Here is a 20,015-nt window from a genome sequence, read left to right as displayed (position 1 = left end):
GTGTGTGGTGTGTGTGTGTGTGGTGTGTGTATGTGTGGTGTGTGTGTTTGTGTGGTCTGTGGGTGGTGTGTGTGTGTATGTGTGGCCTGTGTGGCGTGTGTGTGGTGTGGGGGGGTCAGTGTGTGGTGTGTGTGTGTGGCGTGTGTGTGTAATGTGTGGTCTGTGTGGCGTGTGTGTGGTGTGGAGGGTCAGTGTGTGGTGTGTGTGTGTATGTGTGGTGTGTGTGGTGTGTGTGTGGTGTGTGTGTGTATGTGTGGTCTGTGCGGCGTGTGTGGTGTGGAGGGTCAGTGTGTGGTGTATGTGTATGTGTGGTGTGTGTGGTGTGTGTGTGTGTGTATGTGTGGTCTGTGTGTGGTGCGTCTGCGTGTATCGCTGAGTTTGAGGGGAGGTGCGCCACTGCTCCTGCTCTCCCTCCCTGTCCCCCTGCTGGAGTTGTCAATGGCCTAGAGCTGTGTCTCCTTGGGTGTGTGCACCACGTGCGTGCAGTTGGAGCAGCCAGTGGGACTCTGTCAGCAGAGGGAGAAATCGTGTCCATGGAGCCTGGCGGAGGCTTGGCACGGAATGCGGAGTGAGCAGAACTGCCAGCCCATACAGCAGCCTCTGTGCAGATGAGACAAAGGCACCCCCCACCTTGCCCAATCCGCTCTCCCAGGTCTGTGGTTTGGCACGCAGATGGCACCCTTGTGTGAGCTTGGAAGGGGCACTCCTTACCCCAAATGGATGCAGCCCCACTGGCACACGCCCTGGGAAGCAGAGCCCAGCAGGATTTCAGCCTCTCAGCCAGACCCCCTTGTGCAGTGCACGACCTGCCCAACCCTACATGGTAGCCCTCAATGAATGAAGGAATCTGCAGTGCTGCATGCATGTGCCACTTCTGGAAGGGATGTGTCTCTGTGTGGGGGAAAAAGGCATCCATGCTGTACAGGTCACAGTGCTCAGAGACCTGAGTTCAAAGCCCAGCCCCACTCTTTGGGCACCTTGGGTCTCAGGCAAATGATGTGACCTCTCGGAACCTCAGCGTCCTCATCTGAAATGAGTGTGTCAGTACACACACATGTGGCCAGCAGAGATGACAGCTATGAAAGTTGCAAAGCAAGTGAGGAATTGGGAGCATGTCTGGGGCTGCTGTTACCGCTAGGACAGGAAGGCTGGCTGAAATGACATGCTAGGGACACCCTGAAGGAAGGGAGAAAGGAGGCAGGTCAGAGCAGGATCTGTGGAAAGGAAGGGGCTCCCAGACGAAGGAAACAGCACGTGCACAGGCAGGAAGGTGGAGCGTCTTGAGCATGAACTTGGAAGGTATGAAGGGAAAAGGAAAGGATGAGAAGAGGAGCTACTGGCAGAGTTGGGGTTTTATTCCAGGTGTGACAGGGAACCAGAATGCGGACAGGGGAGTGGTTGATGCCATTTGACGTGTTTCCTTTTTTTTTTTTTTTTTTTTTTTTTTGAGATGGAGTCTCACGCTGTCACCCTGGCTGGAGTGCAGTGGTGTGATCTCAGCTCACTGCAACCTGAGCCTCCGGGGTTCAAGCGATTCTCCTTCCTCAGCTTCCCGAGTAGCTGGAATTAAAGGCGCCCGCCACTGCGCCGGGCTCATTTTTGTACTTTTAGTAGTGACAGTGTTTCACCATGTTTGCCAGGCTGGTCTCAAACTCCTGACCTCAAGTGATCCGCCTGCCTCGGCCTCCCAAAGTGCTGGGATTACAGGCGTGAGCAACCATGCCAGTCCCTGTTACCTTTTTAATTGTGGGGAAATACACCATTTAACCATTCTCAAAGTGTTTGATTCGGTGGCATTAGCGTATCCATCAGGTTGTGGAGCCATCACCACTATTTAGTTCCAGGGTATTTTCCTCACCACACAAGGAAGCCTGGCCACCCTTTAGCGGTCACCCCCCATCCTCCTGTCCCCAGCTCCGGGCAATTATTAATCGGCTTTCAGTCTCTGTGGATTTGACTATTGTGATATTTCATATTAATGAAATCATACACTACATGAGATTTATGGCTGGACTTTTCCACTGAACGTCATGTCTTCAAGGTTCGTGCATGCTGTGGCTTGTATCTCAGCCCTTGGTACCTGTCACGGTTGAGTAATATTCTGTGGCATGGGTAGGCCGTCGTTGGTTTGTCCGTTCCTCCATAATGGGTGATTGCATTGTTTGCAGTATTTGGCTGTTGTGCAAGGTGCTGTTATGAACATTCAAGGATAAGGTTTTGTGTGGACACATGTTTTGAATTCTTTGGGGTAGACACTGCAGAGTGGAAGTGCATGGTAATCCTAGTTAACTTCTTTTTTTTTTTTTTTTTTTTGAGACGACGTCTCACTCTGTCAGCCCAGGCTGGAGTGCAGTGGCACGATCTCTGCTCACTGCAAGCTCCACCTCCGGGGTTCACGCCATTCTTCTGCCTCAGCCTCCCGAGTAGCTGGGACTACAGGCGCCCGCCACCACGCCCGGCTAATTTTTTGTAATTTTAGTAGAGACGGGGTTTCACCGTGTTAGCCAGGATGGTCTCGATCTCCTGACCTCGTGATCCACCCGCCTCAGCTTCCCAAAGTGCTGGGATTACAGGCATGAGCCACCGCACCCGGCCAACTTTTTTTTTTTTTTTTGAGACGGAGTCTCACTCTGTTGCCCAGGCTGGAGTACAGTGAGTGCAATGACATAATCTCGGCTCACTGCAACCTCCACTTCCGGAGTTCAAGCGATTCTCCTGCTTCAGCCTCCTGAGTAGCTGGGACTACAGGCGCACGCCACCATGCCCGGCTAGTTATTTTTGTATTTTTAGTAGAGACGGGGTTTCGTCATATTGGCCAAGCTGGTCTTGCAAGTGATCATATTGGCCAGGCTGACCGCAAGTGATCCGCCCACCTTGGCCTCCGAAAGTGCTGGGATTACAGGCGTGAGCCACCGCGCCTGGACCAATTCTAGTTAACTTTTTAAGGAACCGCCAAACTCTCTTCCACAGTGTGGGGTCAAGCCACTTCTAAGACTCCCATTAAACACCCAGGAGGAAGTGTCCAGTGGGCAGTGGGGTATTCTAGCACCGAGTCAGGGGAGGGGTCCAAGCTGGAGCTGAAAAGGAAAGGTGAGGCCCCAAGCAGGAGGGCGATGGAGCTCACTGAGGCTCTGGAAGGTTCACCTTCCAACCCTCTGCCCATCCCCACCAGCAGCAATGTTGTTGACAGTGGTGTGGTCCCTAGACACACACACGATGGATGGTGGCATATAATAGAAAATAACACCGAGTGATATTTATTGACTCAATCCCATCCACCCCCTCCATCCCTTTATGCTGCTTTCATTTCTTCACGGCTTCCTTCATCATTCCTTTTTATTTCTTCACAATTGGCGTCAACATGTGTCCCATTCATTTGTGTCCATCTGCTGACTGTCCCCCCTCACTAGCACGTAAACCCCCGTAAAGGCAGGAACCCTGTGGGCTTACTCACTGCTGCATCCTCAGCCCAGGGAGGCTGCTCAGGAGACATTTATTGAATGAAGATTTGCAGAACGAATGCACACCCCGCGCATCATGCCTGCTCCTGGGAAGCTCTATGGCAGCCTCTCGGCAGCTAGCTCAGGGCAGGGGCTGTTCAGATCAGGTTCTTGCAGAGAGGAAATGTAAGACTCCGTGGGCAGTCACCCCAGACCCCTGGGGGGTTCCTCCTGCAGGTAGAGCTCAGACGTTTCCTTCTCCCGGAACCCGAGGCCAGGCATCCTTCCCACCTCTATCATCCCTCTAGGTCCACGGGGGTGGGCGTGTCTGGGACTTGGCTGGACTGTTGCCATAGAAACAGCTGGAAGACGTGCCCACCACCACCACCACCAACTCCCACCTCTCTTCTGCATCACCTTTTCTCTCTCTTTTGAGACAGGGTCTCACTCTGTCAACTCAGGCTGGAGTGCGGTGGTGAAATCACAGCTCCCAGCAGCCTTGATCTCTGGGACTCAAGTTATCCTCCCACCTCAGCGTCCTGAGTACCTGGGACTATAGGTGCGCACGACCACGCCGGGCTAATTTTTTTTTTTTTTTTTTTTGTAAAGACACGGTTTTGCTGTGTTGGCGAGGCTGGCTGGTCTCCTGCTTGAGCAATTTGCCCACCTTGGCCTCCCAGAGTGCTGGGATTTACAGGCGTGAGCCGCCGCACCCGGACGACCCTTTCTCAGCCTGTATCTCCCTTCTGAAATAGCAGCAGCAGCAAACACTTTCATATTTCACCTGCAATATGCCAGGCACTGTTCTAAGCTCTTTACACATATTCCCTCAGTTCATCCTCCTGACCACTCAGAGATAACCATCCTTATCCCCATTTTACAGATGGGGGACTTGGGGCACAGGGAGCTTAGATAAGAGCCTGTCAGTGTCAGGCAGCTGGCAGGAGGTCCAGTCGGCAGGGGAACCACCCTGCTGTGGTTGTGGTTCAGCTGTGGACAGAGACCCTTCAAACCCGACGCCGTAACAGTGGTGTGTGTGTGCGTGTGCATGCCAGGGAGAGAGAGAGAGAGAGGGAGAGAGAGGGAGGGAGGGAGGGCACCTAAGATCCCTTGATTATCAGATCTAACTAAGGGAGAGAAATTGGCATTTCGGGGCACTGAGGACCATAGGGGTGTAAGTCAGTGGTTCTCCACGGGGGCAGCTGTGGCCTCCTCCCACCAGGGGAACATTTGGCAATGCCTGGAAACATCTTACATTGTCACAACTCGGGGGAATGTGGTGCTGCTGGCATGGAGAGGGCGCTGCTAAACATCCTACAGCGCTCAGGACAGGCGCTCACCACAAAGCAGCATCGGTCCCCGAATGTCAGTGTTGAAAAACCGTGCACTGCCTCTTCCCACTTGCCTGGTCTATAAACTCAAATTCTCAACTTCTCTCTCTCCTCCTCCCTCCCTCTCCTCCCCCTCCTCCTCCTCCCCTTCTTTTCTCCCTCCTTCCCCGTCTCCCTGACTCCTCCTTTCCCACCCACCCCTCATCTGTCTCGCTTCCTTCCCTCCCTCCGCGGTCCCCACTCCCCTCGCCACCCTCCCCTCCCCTTCGCGCGCCTCCCTCCAGCTGCCTCCCCTGCCCTCTCCTCTTCGCCGCCCCCGTTTCTTCTCCTTACATCGCGCCTCGCCTCGCTCCTCGTCCTAATGTCTGCACACCCCTCTGGTGTCTGTCGACCCTCCCAATCGCTTCTCCCGCATTCATCTCTCGCCTGATCCCGGTTCTGTCCGCCCATGCTCATTTCTCTCCCCCAGCCGTGCCCGGGCGCGTTTCCATTACTCTCCCATCGTCGCCCACCGCGCGTGGGGCGGCCAACTTGGGCCCACGCAGCTCAGCTCCCTCCGCCCTTCCTGCCTCCTGGCGCCTGTTGCTCCCCACACTCTGCCGCCCCCCGCCCGCCCTCCCCAGCCTCTCTGCCCACCCATCTCTACGTTTCTCACCCTCTGACCGTTTCTCTCCCGCCCAGCGCTCCAACCTCTGCTCTCGTTCTCCCCGCAGCCTGGCGGCCCAGTGCGACCCCCTGCAAGCCCCATGCCGGCCCTCCTGCTCCTCGTACTCCTGGCCTCTAGCGCCGGCCAGGCCAGGGCGCGCCCGTCCAACGCCACGAGCGCCGAGCCCGCGGGCCCGCTGCCCGCCCTGCTGGCGCACCTGCGGCGCCTGACCGGGGCGCTGACGGGCGGCGGGGGCGCGGCGAGCCCAGGCGCCAACGGCACCAGGACCGGCCCCGCGGGCGGGGCGGGCGCGGCGGCCCGGGCGCCCCCTCCCGCCGAGCTCTGCCACGGCTACTACGATGTCATGGGCCAGTACGACGCCACCTTCAACTGCAGCACCGGCTCCTACCGCTTCTGCTGTGGCACCTGCCACTACCGCTTCTGCTGTGAGCACCGTCACATGCGCCTGGCGCAGGCCTCCTGCTCCAACTACGACACGCCGCGCTGGGCCACCACGCCGCCGCCGCTAGCTGGGGGCGCCGGGGGCGCTGGGGGTGCGGGCGGGGGGCCAGGGCCCGGCCAGGCCGGGTGGTTGGAAGGGGGCCGGACTGGGGGTGCCGGGGGCCGCGGGGGCGAGGGCCCCGGGGGCAGCACAGCCTACGTCGTGTGCGGGGTCATCAGCTTCGCCCTGGCCGTGGGCGTCGGCGCCAAAGTGGCCTTCAGCAAGGCGTCCCGTGCGCCCCGGGCGCACCGGGATATCAACGTGCCCAGGTGCGTGTGCTCTCGGGCGGGAGGACTGCGAGCCTGGGGCGGGGCCCAGCAAGGGAGGTGGAGCCATCCGAGGAGGAGGGGCTGCAGGGATAGGGCGTGGTGGTCAGAGACCCAGGTGGCGGCCGCCGGCGTAGCTGAAGGTGGGCAGGGGCTGAGAAAGTCGCGCCAGAGCCGGCCCGGCTGTTGCGGAGTGATGCAGGGAGAGGGAGAAGCCCAGACTCTCATTCATTCGACACATATTTCTTGAGCACCTTCTGTGGGCCAGGAGCTGGGGATACACCAGTGAACAAAACAAGGTCTCTGCCCTGGTGGAAAAGCCTGACTTCCAAATCCAAGTTCACAGCCTACAGGCTATGTGACAGTGGATGAGTTGCTTAACGTCTCTGTTCCTCAGTTTCCTGTCCGCACAATGAGACTAATCATCGTCCCCACCTATTCGGATTGTAATTAACTGAGTTGATTCGTGCAGGGTCCTGGCACACGGTAAGGGCTCATTAACTATCAGTGGCCCAGTCCGTAAGCATGTGCAGTGTAATTTTAGATGACTGCTGTGAAGAAAATCAGCGGAAAGTGTTGAGAGAGAGGGCGCTGGATTAGAGGAAGTGATCCGAAAAGGCCTCTGAACGGAGACCCGAAGGGAGGGAGCGAACCACGCAGAGATCTGTGGGCGAGAGGTTTTGGGCAGGGGAACCGCGTGCAAAGGCCCTCGGTGGCCTGCAGGGCAGGGAAGCGCCCGTGCAGCTGGCGGCGGTGGGCAGCAGGAGGTGAGGAGAAGTAGGCGGGCCCGGGTTTATCCTAAGTGTGATGGGGCCACTGCAGGGTCCTGAGCTCGGGCGTGATGCCATCTGTCCATTTTTTAAATTATGCGGGCTGCGCGTGAGACTGGAGTGTACGGGGCTAGGGTGGGAGTGGGGAGACCCGTGAGGGGGCTGTTGCAATGATCCAGGTGAGAGATTGCAGAGGTGGTGAGTAGTGGTCTGATTTGGGATATGTTTTGGAGGTTCGATCCGTAGGATTGCTGAAAGGTATGAAGGTGGGGGAAAGAAGAGTCAAGGTGATTTAATGTTTGAGGTCCGCATCACTGGGTAAATGGAGCACCCTTTGTTGCCATGGGGAAGGCTGCAAAAGGAACGGGAATGGGGTCCCAGATTCAGGGTGGGGCGAGCCCACAGGGAAGTGAGAGGGACCACAGAAGCGATGGCTTCCACACGAGTTAAGGCAGCAGCGCTTCAAGCAGGAAGTGTGGCCTGAGAAAGGGGGTCATTCTAGGGGGCGTGGCCAACGAGAAAGGGGCGTGGCCAATGGCGAAAAAGGCAGGCTGAGTGACAGATTACCCAAGGGCGAGAGCAGGGAGCGGAAAGAAGCCTTCCTGGTACCCCTGCCACCCTCAGCCCCCAGGCCTTTGACCACCTCTCTGCCACCTTTAGAGCTCTGGTGGACATTCTGAGACATCAGGCGGGGCCTGGGACCCGCCCGGACCGGGCCCGAAGCAGCTCCCTGACCCCGGGGATCGGCGGTCCCGACAGCATGCCCCCCAGGACGCCCAAGAACCTCTACAACACCGTGAAGACCCCCAACCTCGGTGAGTGGAACGTGGGATCCGGCGCAGCCTCCGTCTCTGGCCACGCCCCTTCATCATGTAGCCCCGCCCTCCATGGCGGCTCCACCCCCATCGCCCAGGACCCGCCCTCACCCCCTACGCCCGCCTTGCACTGCCGGGTCCTGCCCTGCGAAAGGCGGACGGGGGCTAGGAACTCCGTAGAGAGCCAGACCCTCTCCTTGCCCTCCTGTGGACCCCCCTGGGTGGGGCTCCATGGGCACCTTGGTGATGTAGGTTTAGACATTCTCAAGCCCCTGCGCTCGGTGTCAGACCACCTAACAGCCAACTACACACAAGGGCACAACTACCAAATTCGAATTTGTCAGGAGCCAGACCGACTGGGTTTGAATCCTGACTCTGCCATTGTGTGACCTGGGGCAAGTGACCTCACCTCTGTGGGCCTCAGTTTCTCCATCCATAAAATAAGAAACATAACAATACTCACTTCATGGGGTTATGGTGAAGAGCAAATGAATTGGTGAGGCAGGTGATTAGAATAATGTGTAACACAGAAAAAAATACTATGTAAGTGTGGGCTGTTGCTATTGTTAAATATATATAATTATATATTTAAAATATGATATATCATATTTAATATTGTATATCATTTAAATATGATCTATATTATTATAATTTATGATGAATGCATCAGTGGAGAGGTCCAAGGAGCTGTCAGGGGAACTGAGAAGATGTGGTCTGGTTTGGGGGCAGAAGGGCTTCTCCGAGGGGGAGGTATTTGAGCAAAGGCCTGGAGGAGGAGAGGCGTTAGAAGGGCTTCTCCAAGGGAGAGGTATTTGAGCAAAGGCCTGGAGGAGGAGAGGCATTAGAAGGGCTTCTCCGAGGGAGAGGTATTTGAGCAAAGGCCTGGAGGAGGAGAGGCGTCAGAAGGGCTTCTCCGAGGGAGAGGTATTTGAGCAAAGGCCTGGAGGAGGAGAGGAGTTACTGGGGCTGGGAAGCTCCAGGTGGCAGAGCTTGTGAGGTGACCAGACTTGAGGCCAGGGAGAGGGTGGTTGGTGACCTCAGAGAGGGCCTTGAGCGCCAGGCTGGGCTGAGGAACTCCGCCTCCGTCCTGAGGGTGATGGAGAGCTGCGGAGGAGTTCCAGCAGAGGAGCAACACAGCCAGCAGTGGGTGGTAGAACCGGTCCTCTGGAACCCATGCAAAGGGCAGAGATGAGAGGAAAGAGGCCCAGGAGGAGGCTGGGATGATGGTCCAGGCAGCAAGAGGACAAGGACGGAGCTGGGATCAGGGGTGGAGAGGAGAAGAGACATCTGAGCTGGATCTTGAGGCAGATGGGAAGAAGGGCTTCAAGGCAGTGAGAACAGCATGGTGGCATGTGCAAAGGCCCTGTGGCAGGACCACGCTGGGCTCACTGGAGAGAGCAGTGCGGCTTGAGGGAAGGGATGGGAGATGGGGCTGCAGACATCCAGTGGGTCCAGGTTTTGAAGCCTCAAACACCATTCCTGGGTTCAACTTTGTCCCGTGGGTGATGGTGAGCCAATGGGAAGGCTGTTGAGCAGTGGAAGGGCAGTTACCTCGGTGAGGCTGATCATGGAGATGGATGGGCTGGATGGCCAGAGGCTGCTTTGGTGATCCAGGAGGGAGAGGACACATCAGGGCAGAGATTCAGATGTCAGAAGGAACCAAGTGGACATGAGTGGGAGGTGGAGGGAGGTAGCAAGGCGACCCCCTCAGATCTCTAGCCTGGGCACCAGGGGGGGGGGTGCTAAGAACTTGGGACAGACCACTTACCCAGCCCTGAGCCTGTGCCCACACTTTCCACCTTCAAGACCCCCAGCCTCAGTTTCCCCCATGTGGCCAATGGCATGGGTTGATCTGTGGAGCTCTAACGAGGTCCTGCATGTGGGGCCGACCTTGGGGCCAGAGTCCTTCCCAGAGATCAGGGCCACGGTGCCAGCTGGGAGTCAGTGATGGCAGTGACATCATCTCCCTTCTCGGTCCCCCCAGATAATCTGCACCACAGCTACCTGCACCTCAACGTCAACAGCCCCAAGCACCACGCCGCCACACTGGGTGCGGAAGAGGGCCCGGCTGCGGAAAAGAGCAGGCCTCCTTCCCTTCCCCCTTTGTGTTGGGCCAGCCATGCCAGGTGCCCAGTATAGAGCAGGAGTGAGACCCCTGTGAGCCCAGTCCTCATGGCGCTCATGGTCTGGCCAGGTCACCAAGTGAGCCTGTTTCCTCGTGTGGATGCCAAAAGTGGTCATCTCTCTCCCACATTGTTGATGGAGCCTGGGGCCAGGCACTCAGTGGGTGCTGACAAATGCCCAGTACCCCCCTCTTGGGGCCCTCTTCCCCAGCATCAAGCCCGTCTCCTGAGCAGAGGGGCTGGGGTGAGAAGAGGGAGCCTGAACTGCTGGAACTGATGGGCTACAATCTCAGATTTCTAACTCCCCAAAGAACTGCTGGGTCTGAGGGAGGAGGGGCTGGGGGCCTGGACGCCTGGGTCTGAGGGAGGAGGGCTGAGCCTGGATCCTGGGTCTGAGGGAGGAGGGGCTGGGGGCCTGGACGCCTGGGTCTGAGGGAGGAGGGGCTGGGGGCCTGGACGCCTGGGTCTGAGGGAGGAGGGGCTGCAGGCCTGGACGCCTGGGTCTGAGGGAGGAGGGGCTGGGGGCCTGGACTCCTGGGTCTGAGGGAGGCGGGGCTGAGGCCTGAATTCCTGGGTCTGAGGTGGAGGGGCTGGGGGCCTGCACTCCTGGGTCTGAAGGAAGAGGGGCTGGGTTTCTGGACTCCTGGGTCTGATGGAGCAGGGGCTGGGGGCCTGGACTCCTGGGTCTGAGGGAGGAAGCTGACTGACCCTGGCCCTGCCCCCTCTAACCCAGACTGGCGAGCCTTGCCGCCGCCCAGCCCCTCCTTGCACTACTCCACGCTGTCCTGCTCTCGGTCCTTCCACAACCTCTCGCATCTGCCCCCGTCCTACGAGGCTGCCGTGAAATCCGAGCTGAACCGCTACTCTTCCCTCAAGAGGCTGGGTGAGTCCTGGCAAGGGCAGCGCGGCGGTGAAGGGGAGGGGGCGGGGCCAGAGCCTGGGTTCAGGACCGTGGACAGTGGCCCAAGAGCCTTCCAATGGTTTAGCTTCTCTCCCAGGTTTTACTCCAAGTTCGTTCTGGAATTACCTGTGGTACTTTTGTATCAGAATCACTTCTGATTTTTTTTTAATGCAACCTTCTGGTCTCCCCTCCCAGGACATATTATGGTGTTCATCAGGACTTGGACTTGCAATTAATAGAAATACTACTTCAGCTAAAGGAAAAAAACATGTTGACTTGATCATGGAAAATCTACAGGTCACCAGATTGCGATGTGGCTGTTTTGGGGGCTCAAGAGCTGTCTCTTAGCTCTCTACGCCACCGGCGGGCCTCATTTTCAGAGAGTCTCCCCTCGTGGTGGCAACGACCACCCTGCAGATGTTCAGGCTGCCGTTCTACCAGCTCAGGGACCCTGGCAGAAAAGAGTCTCTCCCAACAATTCCGGCAAAAAATCCCAGGCCTGGATGCCATTGGTGCAAGCTGGGTCACATGCCCATCCCTGAACCCATTCCTGTGACTCTCATTGGACATTCTGCAGTCCGTGGCCCATTGCTGACAGTGGAGCAGCCTTCAAACATCTTAAACTGAGAGCTTCACTAGGAAACACTTTTTCTTCTTTATTACCACTATGTTTTCAAGACAGGGTCTCACTCTGTCACCCAGGCTGGGATGTAGTGGCATGATCATCATTCACTGCAGCCTCTACCTCCCCAGGCTCAAGCATGATCCTCCCACGTCAGCCTCCTGGCTAGCTGGAACTAAGAGCTCGTGCTGCCATGCCTGGCTAATTTTTGTATTTTTTGTAGAGACGGGGTTTCACTGTGTTGCCCAGGCTGGCCTCAAACTCCTGGGCTCAAGAAAGCCACCCACCTCGTCCTCTCAAAGTGCTGAGATTACAGGAGTGACCCACCATACCCAGCCAGAAACTTTTTTTTTTTTTTTTTGAGACAGAGTCTCACTCTTGTCGCTCAGGCTGGAGAGCAGTGGCATGATCTTGGCTCACTGCAATCTCCGCCTGCCGAGTTCAAGTGATTCTCCTGCCTTAGCCCCCTGAGTAGCTGGGATTACAGGCGCATGCCACCACACCTGGCTAATTTTTGTATTTTTAGTAGAGACGGGGTTTCACCATGTTGGTGAGGCTGGTCTCAAACTCCTGACCTTGTGATCCACCCACATCGGCCTCCCAAAGTGCTGGGATTAAGGCGTGAGCCACTATGCCCGGCGTTTTTTGTTTTGTTTCATTTTGTTTTTTGTTTTTTTGAGACAGAGTTTCACTGTTGTTGCCCAGGCTGGAGTGCAATGGCACCATCTCGGCTCACTGCAACCTCTGCCTCCTGGGCTCAAGCGATTCTCCTGCCTCAGTCTCCAGAGTAGCTGGGATTACAGGCACATGCCACCACTCCTGGCTAATTTTTGTATTTTTAATAGAGACGGGGTTTCACCATGTTGGTCAGGCTGGTCTCGAACTCCTGACCTCAGATGACTCACCTGCCTCGGCCTCCCAAAGTGCTGGGATTACAGGTGTGAGCCACCGTGCTCGGCCCAGAAACGATTTTCATATTGTGACCCGTGAGACACACACACACACACACATGTGTATATTTTTAATTACAGGAAATCTTTGAAACTTTTTATTACGGACATTTGCAAACATACATGCGAGTAGAGAAAATTATAAAATGAGTCCCATGTTCCCATCACTCAGCCTTAATAATTAGCCACATTTTGTTAATCTATCCTCCCTCCACCCCACTTTTTGGTGGATCCTTTTTTTTTTTTTTAACGAGACAAGGTCTCACTCTTTTGCCCAGGCTGGAGTGCAGTGGTGTAATCATGGCTCACTGCAGGCTCAACTTTCTGGACTCAAGCAATCCTCCGACGTCAGCCTCCCGAGTAACTGGGACTATAAGCATGAGCCACCATGCTTAGCTAATTTTTTTTTTTTTTTTTTTTTTTTTGTAGAGATGGAGTCTCACTATATTGCCCAGGTCGGTCTTGAACTCCTGGGCTCAAGGGACCCTCCTGTTCAATCACCCAAAGTGCTGGGATTACAGGAGTGAGCCACCTCATCTGACCTTGATGGATTCTTTTAAACTAAATCTCATCCTTTAATATTTCAATCACACACACACACACACAACACACACCCACACACACACACCACATATACACCACACACACACCACACACACACCATACACACCATACACACACACCACACACACCCACACACACACCACATATACACACACACCACATATACACACACGCACACACGCACACACATACACACCACACACACGCACACACGCACACACACATACACACACACCATACACACACCACACACACATACACACCACACAACCACACACACCATACACACACACCACACACACACACCATACACATACACCACACACACCACACACACCACACACACACCATACACACACACCACACACACCACACACACCATACACACTACACACACACCACACACACACCACACAGCCACACACCCACACACACACCACATATACACCACACACACACCATACACACCATCCACACACACCACACACACCCACACACCACACACCATACACACACCACATATACACACACACCACATATACACACACACCACACACACCACATATACACACACACCACACACACCACATATACACACACGCACACACACACCACACACCACACACACATACACACCATGCACACACGCACACACACACCACACACACCATACACACACCACACACCACACACACCACACACACCACATATACACCACACACACCACACAACCACACACCCACACCACACACACGCACCATACACACACACCACACACCATACACACACACCACACACACCATACACACAACCACACACACCACACACACACGCCATACCACACACCCACACCACACACACACCACACACACACCATACACACACACCACACACACCATACACACACAACCACACACACACCACACAACCACACACACACCACATACACACCACATATACACCACACACACACCATACACACACACCACACAACCACACACCCACACACACACACCACACACACACCATACACACACACCACACACACCACACACAAACCACACACCCACATACACACCACACACACACACCACATATACACCACACACGCACACACACCACACACCACACACACACACCACACACACACCACATATACACCACACACCCACCACACACACACACACGCGTCTGCAGTAAGAATTTTATGAACCAACACTTACCCCTGATTCCCTTATTACATAAACACTTTCTGATAGTTTTCTCTTCTGTTCTATTTGATTTCATTTTTCAAAATGCTGCTCACTACCCGCAAAATCAACTTCACAACCTAACAGGTCACAACTCCAAGTGTGAATCACATTGCTACAGGATGAGAGGGGGTCAGTGGTTCCCCAAAAGCAAGAGTTGGGTTCTACTCCCAAAAGAAGGGATAGGCGGCGCGGGGGGGAAGAAGAGGAAGTCCTCCACATCTACTGACCCAGCATTGTGGGCTGGGCCTGGGAATCTGCATTTTGGCCTCACAGCTAGCCTGATGCCCAGGATCCTTGTGGGGGCACAAGGAGCATAGGAGCGGGATGTGACGAGGTGGGAGGGGGAGGGCTCTAGATGCGCAGGGGACCCACGGCTGTGGCTTTTCCCCCTCTCCCCGCAGCCGAGAAGGATCTGGACGAGGCCTACCTGAAGCGCCGGCCCCTGGAATTGCCCCGCGGCACGCTGCCCCTGCACGCGCTGCGGCGGCCGGGCACGGGGGGCGGCTATCGCATGGAGGCCTGGGGCGGCCCAGAGGAGCTGGGCCTGGCGCCCGCGCCCAACCCCCGGCGGGTCATGTCCCAGGAGCACCTGCTGGGCGATGGTGGCCGTTCGCGCTACGAGTTCACGCTGCCGCGCGCGCGCCTGGTGTCGCAGGAGCACCTGCTGCTGTCCTCGCCCGAGGCCCTGCGCCAGAGTCGCGAGCACCTGCTGTCGCCCCCGCGCAGCCCCGCGCTGCCCCCCGACCCCACCGCCCGGGCCAGCCTGGCCGCCTCGCACTCCAACCTGCTGCTGGGGCCCGGGGGGCCCCCAACACCGCTGCGCGGGCTGCCGCCACCGTCCAGCCTGCACGCCCACCACCACCACGCCCTGCACGGCTCGCCGCAGCCGGCCTGGATGTCCGACGCCGGCGGGGGCGGGGGCACACTGGCCCGCAGGCCGCCCTTCCAGCGCCAGGGCACGCTGGAGCAGCTGCAGTTCATCCCGGGCCACCACCTGCCCCAGCACCTGCGCACGGCCAGCAAGAACGAGGTGACTGTCTGAGGCCAGGGCCGGGTCTGGGGGGCTGCGGCCTCCCGGGCCCCCCGTCCCAGCCTGGATCCCCCGACACAGGCGCACACATGCCAGGGGCCTGGGGCCCAGATCGGCCCTTGGACAGGAGTGAAAGCCTCCTTCTGGGATGTCCTGGCAGACAAGATTCCTCCTCCTATTACTTCACTGCTTGAGCCAAGGCCTCCTTCCCATGATGTCATCCCAGAGGAAGAGGCCGGCTCATGAGGTCATCACTAGCAAAAATGTCTGTGTTCTGTGATGTCATCACAGGGACAAAGCCTCGTTCCCATGAGGTCATCACAGAGGAAGAGGCCGGCCCGTGAGGTCAGCGCTGGAGGCCATGTCCATGTTCTATGGTGTCCTCAGAGGCTTCCTTCTTGTGGTATAATAACAGAGACGACGCCTTGTTCCATGACATTCCTTCCTGTGGTGTCACTGCAGAGACAATCTCACCTGGATGATGTCATCTCTAACTCCAAGGCCTCTTTTGGCATCATCGCCATGGGGAAGATATTTTCTCCCTGTGTCTTTGCAGCAGAGAAGATGCCTCTGTCCTATGATGTCATCATTACAGACAAAGCCATCTTCCTGGGACACGTCGCAGGGGAAAATGCCTCACCGATTGTGTCCTCACTAGACATAAGGTCCCCTTTTCACAACATCATCACAGGGACCCTGCCTCCTTCCTGTGATGCCATCACCAGAGAAGGTGCCTTGCCCTATGACGTCATCAGAGGGACCGTGCCTCTTCCTGTGATGTCATCACCAGAGATGACCACCCACTCTGGGACCTCTCCAGGAGGAGGTCCCTTCTGTGATGTCGCCCAGATGCTATGTGCTCTGAGATGGCACAAAGAGATGCCTCCACTGCTGCCACCATGTTGTAGAAGGCAGGGCAGGCCCAGAGTCCAGGACCACCCCAGGGAAGATGCCAGAGAGCAGAGAGGGGCCCTGTCCTGAGATGTTGTCTGAAGGAAGCATCGCTGGGGAGCCGCCCATGTGGAGGGCCTCCTCCAGAGATGATGGTCTGTGTAGGCTGTTGGCAGTGACACCCCTACCCCCAATGCTGTGATGGCATCACCAGAGCTTCCTCCTCAGAGGCACTGCCCACTCTGGAAGGCCATCGGTATTGGTGGTGTCACCAGAGTTACTGCCTTGTCCCACCATGACTTAGCTTGGTTGCTCCCTCCCCAGACTCCAGGGACATGTCCAGCAGGATCTCTGCCAGACCCTCTGAGGGGAAATGGGGCCTTGGATCCCACATCTGTGCCATGACTCCTGGGAGACAGGACCTCCAGATGGCCTTCTGCTCCCAGGAGGCCACTCTGGATCACCAGGATCCTGGAGTTCTGGCACTCATAGGTGTCCCATAGCCTGGCCTCACTTTTCTTTCTGCCATATCTAGAGACAATCACCTCTGTCAACAAAGTCCTAGCCTTCTACTGGGGGGAGGTGCTTGGGGTACACCTACTCTTGCCCTCACTGACACTGTCAGCATCACACAACACCCGCCACTCATGATGGCACCACACCCGGGGTCAAGTGTTACCCATGTCTGAGGATGGAATCCTTCCCCAGGATTACCTATGACCCACAACTATGGTATCATCTTCTTCCAGGATTTACCATGACTAATGGTGTCACCATCTGCCAAGACTCCCCATAGCCAATGGTGTCACCATCCTCCATGATTCCTCACAACCATGGTGTCATCATCTTTCAGGAGCCACCACAGCTGACGGTGTCATCATCTCCTAGATTCCACCATGACCAGTGATGACATTACCTTCCAGAATCCACTACACCTGACAGAGACATCCTCTACTGAAATCCACTAGGACTGATGATTCCACCATTTCCCATAATCCCTCATGATTTTGGTGTCATCACCTCCCAAGACCCATGATGCCCAATAGTGTCATCATCATTTGCAGGGATGCATGGTGTCATCATCTCCAGGGATCCACTTCAACCATGTGCCACCACCTCCCAGGATTTCATTCAAACATGTGCCACTACCTCCCAGTATCCACTTCAACTATGGTGTTATCACCTGCCAGGATCCACGAGAGCCAATGCTGTCACCATCCACTAGGATCCACCATAACCCTGGTGTCATCATCTCCTGTGATCCATGAGGTCCAGTGCTGTCACCATCCACTAGGATCCACCATGACCCTGGTGTCATCATCTCCTGTGATCCATGAGGTCCAGTGCTGTCACCATCCACTAGGATCCACCATAACCCTGGTGTCATCATCTCCCAGGATCCATGAGGTCCAGTGCTGTCTGTCACCATCCACTAGTATCCACCATAACCCTGGTGTCATCTTCTCCCAGGATCCATGAGGTCCAGTGCTGTCACCATCCACTAGGATCCGCCATAACCCTGGTGTCATCATCCGTGATCCATGAGGTCCAGTGCTGTCACCATCCACTAGGATCCACCATAACCCTGGTGTCATCATCTCCCAGGATCCATGAGGTCCAGTGTTGTCACCATCTACTAGGATCCACCATGACCCTGGTGTTATCATCTCCCAGGATCCATGAGGTCCAGTGTTGTCACCATCTATTAGGATCCACCATGACCCTGGTGTTATCATCTCCCAGGATCCATGAGGTCCAGTGCTGTCACCACCCACTAGGATCCACCATAACCCTGGTGTCATCCCAGAGTCCACTGCAACCATGTGCCATCATCCCCCAAGAGCCATCATCTTAGGAGCCAAGTACCGTGACGGGCTGTATTTCAGTTGTCCTCTGGGGCCGCATGGTACTTACAGTTGTTCACTTAAGGGGAACCAGCACAACAGGCCATATTCCCGTTTCCACTAAAAGGACAGGGGTGGGGCCAGCTGTCCCCCTCTGAAGACTTCACCCCTACTCTGGCCCTCCTTATGTCACTGCCTCACTCCTGACCGAGGATGATGCCTGCATCAATCCCACCACAGATGTGGCCTCAGCCAACCTCACCTTACCCCCCGGTGAGGCACCCAGGCCCCTCCTGACAGCAGCGCTGTCCCTCACCCAGCCATCTGATTGGTGACAGGGTCAACCCAGCAACCTCTCATTATCACCAGAGAGGAAGCATTTCAACCCTCAGGTGACGCCACTGCCCCCTGCCCAATCCCTGTCACTTGGGCCCCTACCAGGATCAGCACTCCACTGGCCCCGGCCAAATTCTCCTCAGAGATCCCTGACCCCCGCGGGATAGGTCAAAGCTGGTGACCGACTGGGGCCTTCAGTGCTGTCTTCTGCTGGCCTCATCCTGCAGCAGGGACACTGGAGAGCAATGGTCCCTGCCAGCACATCTGCGGGACCAGGGGTGCTCCTTCACCTCCCTCCCTAACACCTTAACACCCGGGGAGCCTCCGGGGGTGGCAGGAAGTCCCCAGCACCCAATGCACAATCTTCCCTCAATTCTCTTTGTACATAGCCATGTTGCGGGGGCGGCCATTCCCCCACTCTTAAAGGGCTACACGCCCCTCCCCCAGCCCCTAGGGCGAGGTGGGGGGGGCCTCTTCTTCCTCCCCTGGGCCGTCCCCCTCCCTCTTATGTCTCCCCGCAAACACTGGCACCTCACACTCCTTCTTGTCAGGAGCTTGGGGCAGACAACTGGCCCTTGGTTCCCACCACACTGAGGAAATGGGGGTTACCCAAATCCACCTGGGCCCTGGTGCCAGTTTTTCAACCCCACGGCTTCTAGCTGCTCTGAGGGGCTCCTCCCATCCCTTCCAGGGCCTCCCCAGCCCCGCACTGCTCAGGCCAACTGTGACTTCCCCAGAAAGGAGCCAGCTTGAGCACCCACCCCCTCCCAGCCCCCTCCCCTCTGCTCAACACCTCCGCGGAACACTCAGCTTTCTCCAGCTGCCGGGATTTGGGGGTCTGGGCCTTTCAGCTTTTTTATCCCCCCTCCACTAGCTCTAGCCCAGCCTGGATTCCAGGGATCCCACCCCTAGCCCTGTCCCTATTCAGTTGGCACAGGCTGCCTGACCCTGGGGCCTTGATTTGATCTCAAATAAGCCATAGAGGAGAGAGGTCTTGAGGGGTGGGAGCAGGTGTGTACTGACAATTCCCCTCCACATGTCTTGAGCTGGGACCTCGTCATCTGAGACTTCCCCATGCCCCAACAAATGCAAATGCACACAAACCCATGCATACACAAGCACACACACACAGGCATCTCCCCGTCTGGTTGGGGGAGCATGGGAGGGGGCACTTCACAGGGAGAAGATAAATAGTTCCACACCTGAAGACCCTCCAACAGCTTCTGCCTCCCTCCTCATCACTTCCTCTCTCCACCCCCTCTCCAACACTGGCCCCTTCCCCTAATTAATTCCCTGGTGAGGACAGCCAGAGGAGCTGCGACTTGGTATTTTTTGGAATAAATAGACATTTTCCTGATCGAAGGTCTCAAGGCTTACTGTGGAGAAAGGATGGATTTCCACCCACGTTTATGGGTCACAGGGGAGGCCCCCTGGCCTCAAACGTGTAGCTGGGTGTAGTAGGTGGGCAATTTGCCAAAGGTTGGGCTTGAAGCATTTGTTCCCAGGCCAGGGCCCACCACCTAGCTGAGGGGTCAGGGGATGGATGTGGGGGTGCACTGTAAGGTGCTTCTAAGTTCTGGGTTTTGTCCTAACAAAGCCCTCTGTCCTCTGAGCATGTGAGCATTTGTTTGTAGATTCTAGAGGTCACCTCCTTATATTCAAATTATTTGGCCGAATAGCATTAAAGCGTAGGGGTGTGGGTGGGGTGTACTAGTTTTGCAAAACTTCATG

At 56.2% G+C, this 20,015-nt stretch overlaps 1 protein-coding gene across 1 annotated transcript, besides 4 other annotated features; it reads left to right on the top strand.

Moving 5' to 3' along the window:
• Positions 1,045-1,339: a silencer, noted in NCBI's record as "tiled region #4976; HepG2 Repressive non-DNase unmatched - State 20:ReprD, and K562 Repressive DNase matched - State 8:EnhW". NCBI's record gives its function as "represses a minimal TATA promoter and a strong SV40 promoter by Sharpr-MPRA in HepG2 and K562 cells {active_cell/tissue: HepG2 | K562}" and the evidence as "EXISTENCE:reporter gene assay evidence [ECO:0000049][PMID:27701403]".
• SHISA7 (shisa family member 7) lies at positions 5,081-19,641 on the top strand. The gene is made up of 4 exons (NM_001145176.2): positions 5,081-6,188; positions 7,616-7,770; positions 10,627-10,776; positions 14,585-19,641. The coding sequence occupies exons 1-4, from the start codon at positions 5,518-5,520 to the stop codon at positions 15,223-15,225; spliced, it is 1,617 nt and encodes a 538-aa protein (NP_001138648.1). The 5' UTR covers positions 5,081-5,517; the 3' UTR covers positions 15,226-19,641.
• Positions 5,761-6,389: an enhancer, noted in NCBI's record as "H3K4me1 hESC enhancer chr19:55953359-55953987 (GRCh37/hg19 assembly coordinates)". NCBI's record gives its function as "activates a minimal SCP1, AML or CMV promoter by ChIP-STARR-seq in primed H9 embryonic stem cells {active_cell/tissue: H9 hESC(primed)}" and the evidence as "EXISTENCE:reporter gene assay evidence [ECO:0000049][PMID:30033119]".
• Positions 6,178-6,267: a silencer, noted in NCBI's record as "silent region_11033". NCBI's record gives its function as "represses an Ori minimal core promoter by ATAC-STARR-seq in GM12878 lymphoblastoid cells {active_cell/tissue: GM12878}" and the evidence as "EXISTENCE:reporter gene assay evidence [ECO:0000049][PMID:35858748]".
• Positions 7,832-7,901: a silencer, noted in NCBI's record as "silent region_11032". NCBI's record gives its function as "represses an Ori minimal core promoter by ATAC-STARR-seq in GM12878 lymphoblastoid cells {active_cell/tissue: GM12878}" and the evidence as "EXISTENCE:reporter gene assay evidence [ECO:0000049][PMID:35858748]".
• Positions 19,642-20,015: the final 374 nt, after the last annotated feature.

This window comes from Homo sapiens, chromosome 19, assembly GCF_000001405.40.
Source record: "Homo sapiens chromosome 19, GRCh38.p14 Primary Assembly".
Taxonomy (NCBI): Eukaryota; Metazoa; Chordata; class Mammalia; order Primates; family Hominidae; genus Homo; species Homo sapiens.
Note: the sequence above shows the minus strand (reverse complement) of the source record. Positions and strands in the feature narration are given on the sequence as shown.

Excerpts from the sequence above, each read along its gene's own strand:
- SHISA7 (NM_001145176.2), top strand. The coding sequence starts at position 5,518 with ATGCCGGCCCTCCTGCTCCTCGTACTCCTGGCCTCTAGCGCCGGCCAG. Across the intron at positions 6,189-7,615 it reads CGGGATATCAACGTGCCCAG|AGCTCTGGTGGACATTCTGA; the intron begins GTGCGTGTGCTC and ends TGCCACCTTTAG. Across the intron at positions 7,771-10,626 it reads CGTGAAGACCCCCAACCTCG|ACTGGCGAGCCTTGCCGCCG; the intron begins GTGAGTGGAACG and ends CCTCTAACCCAG.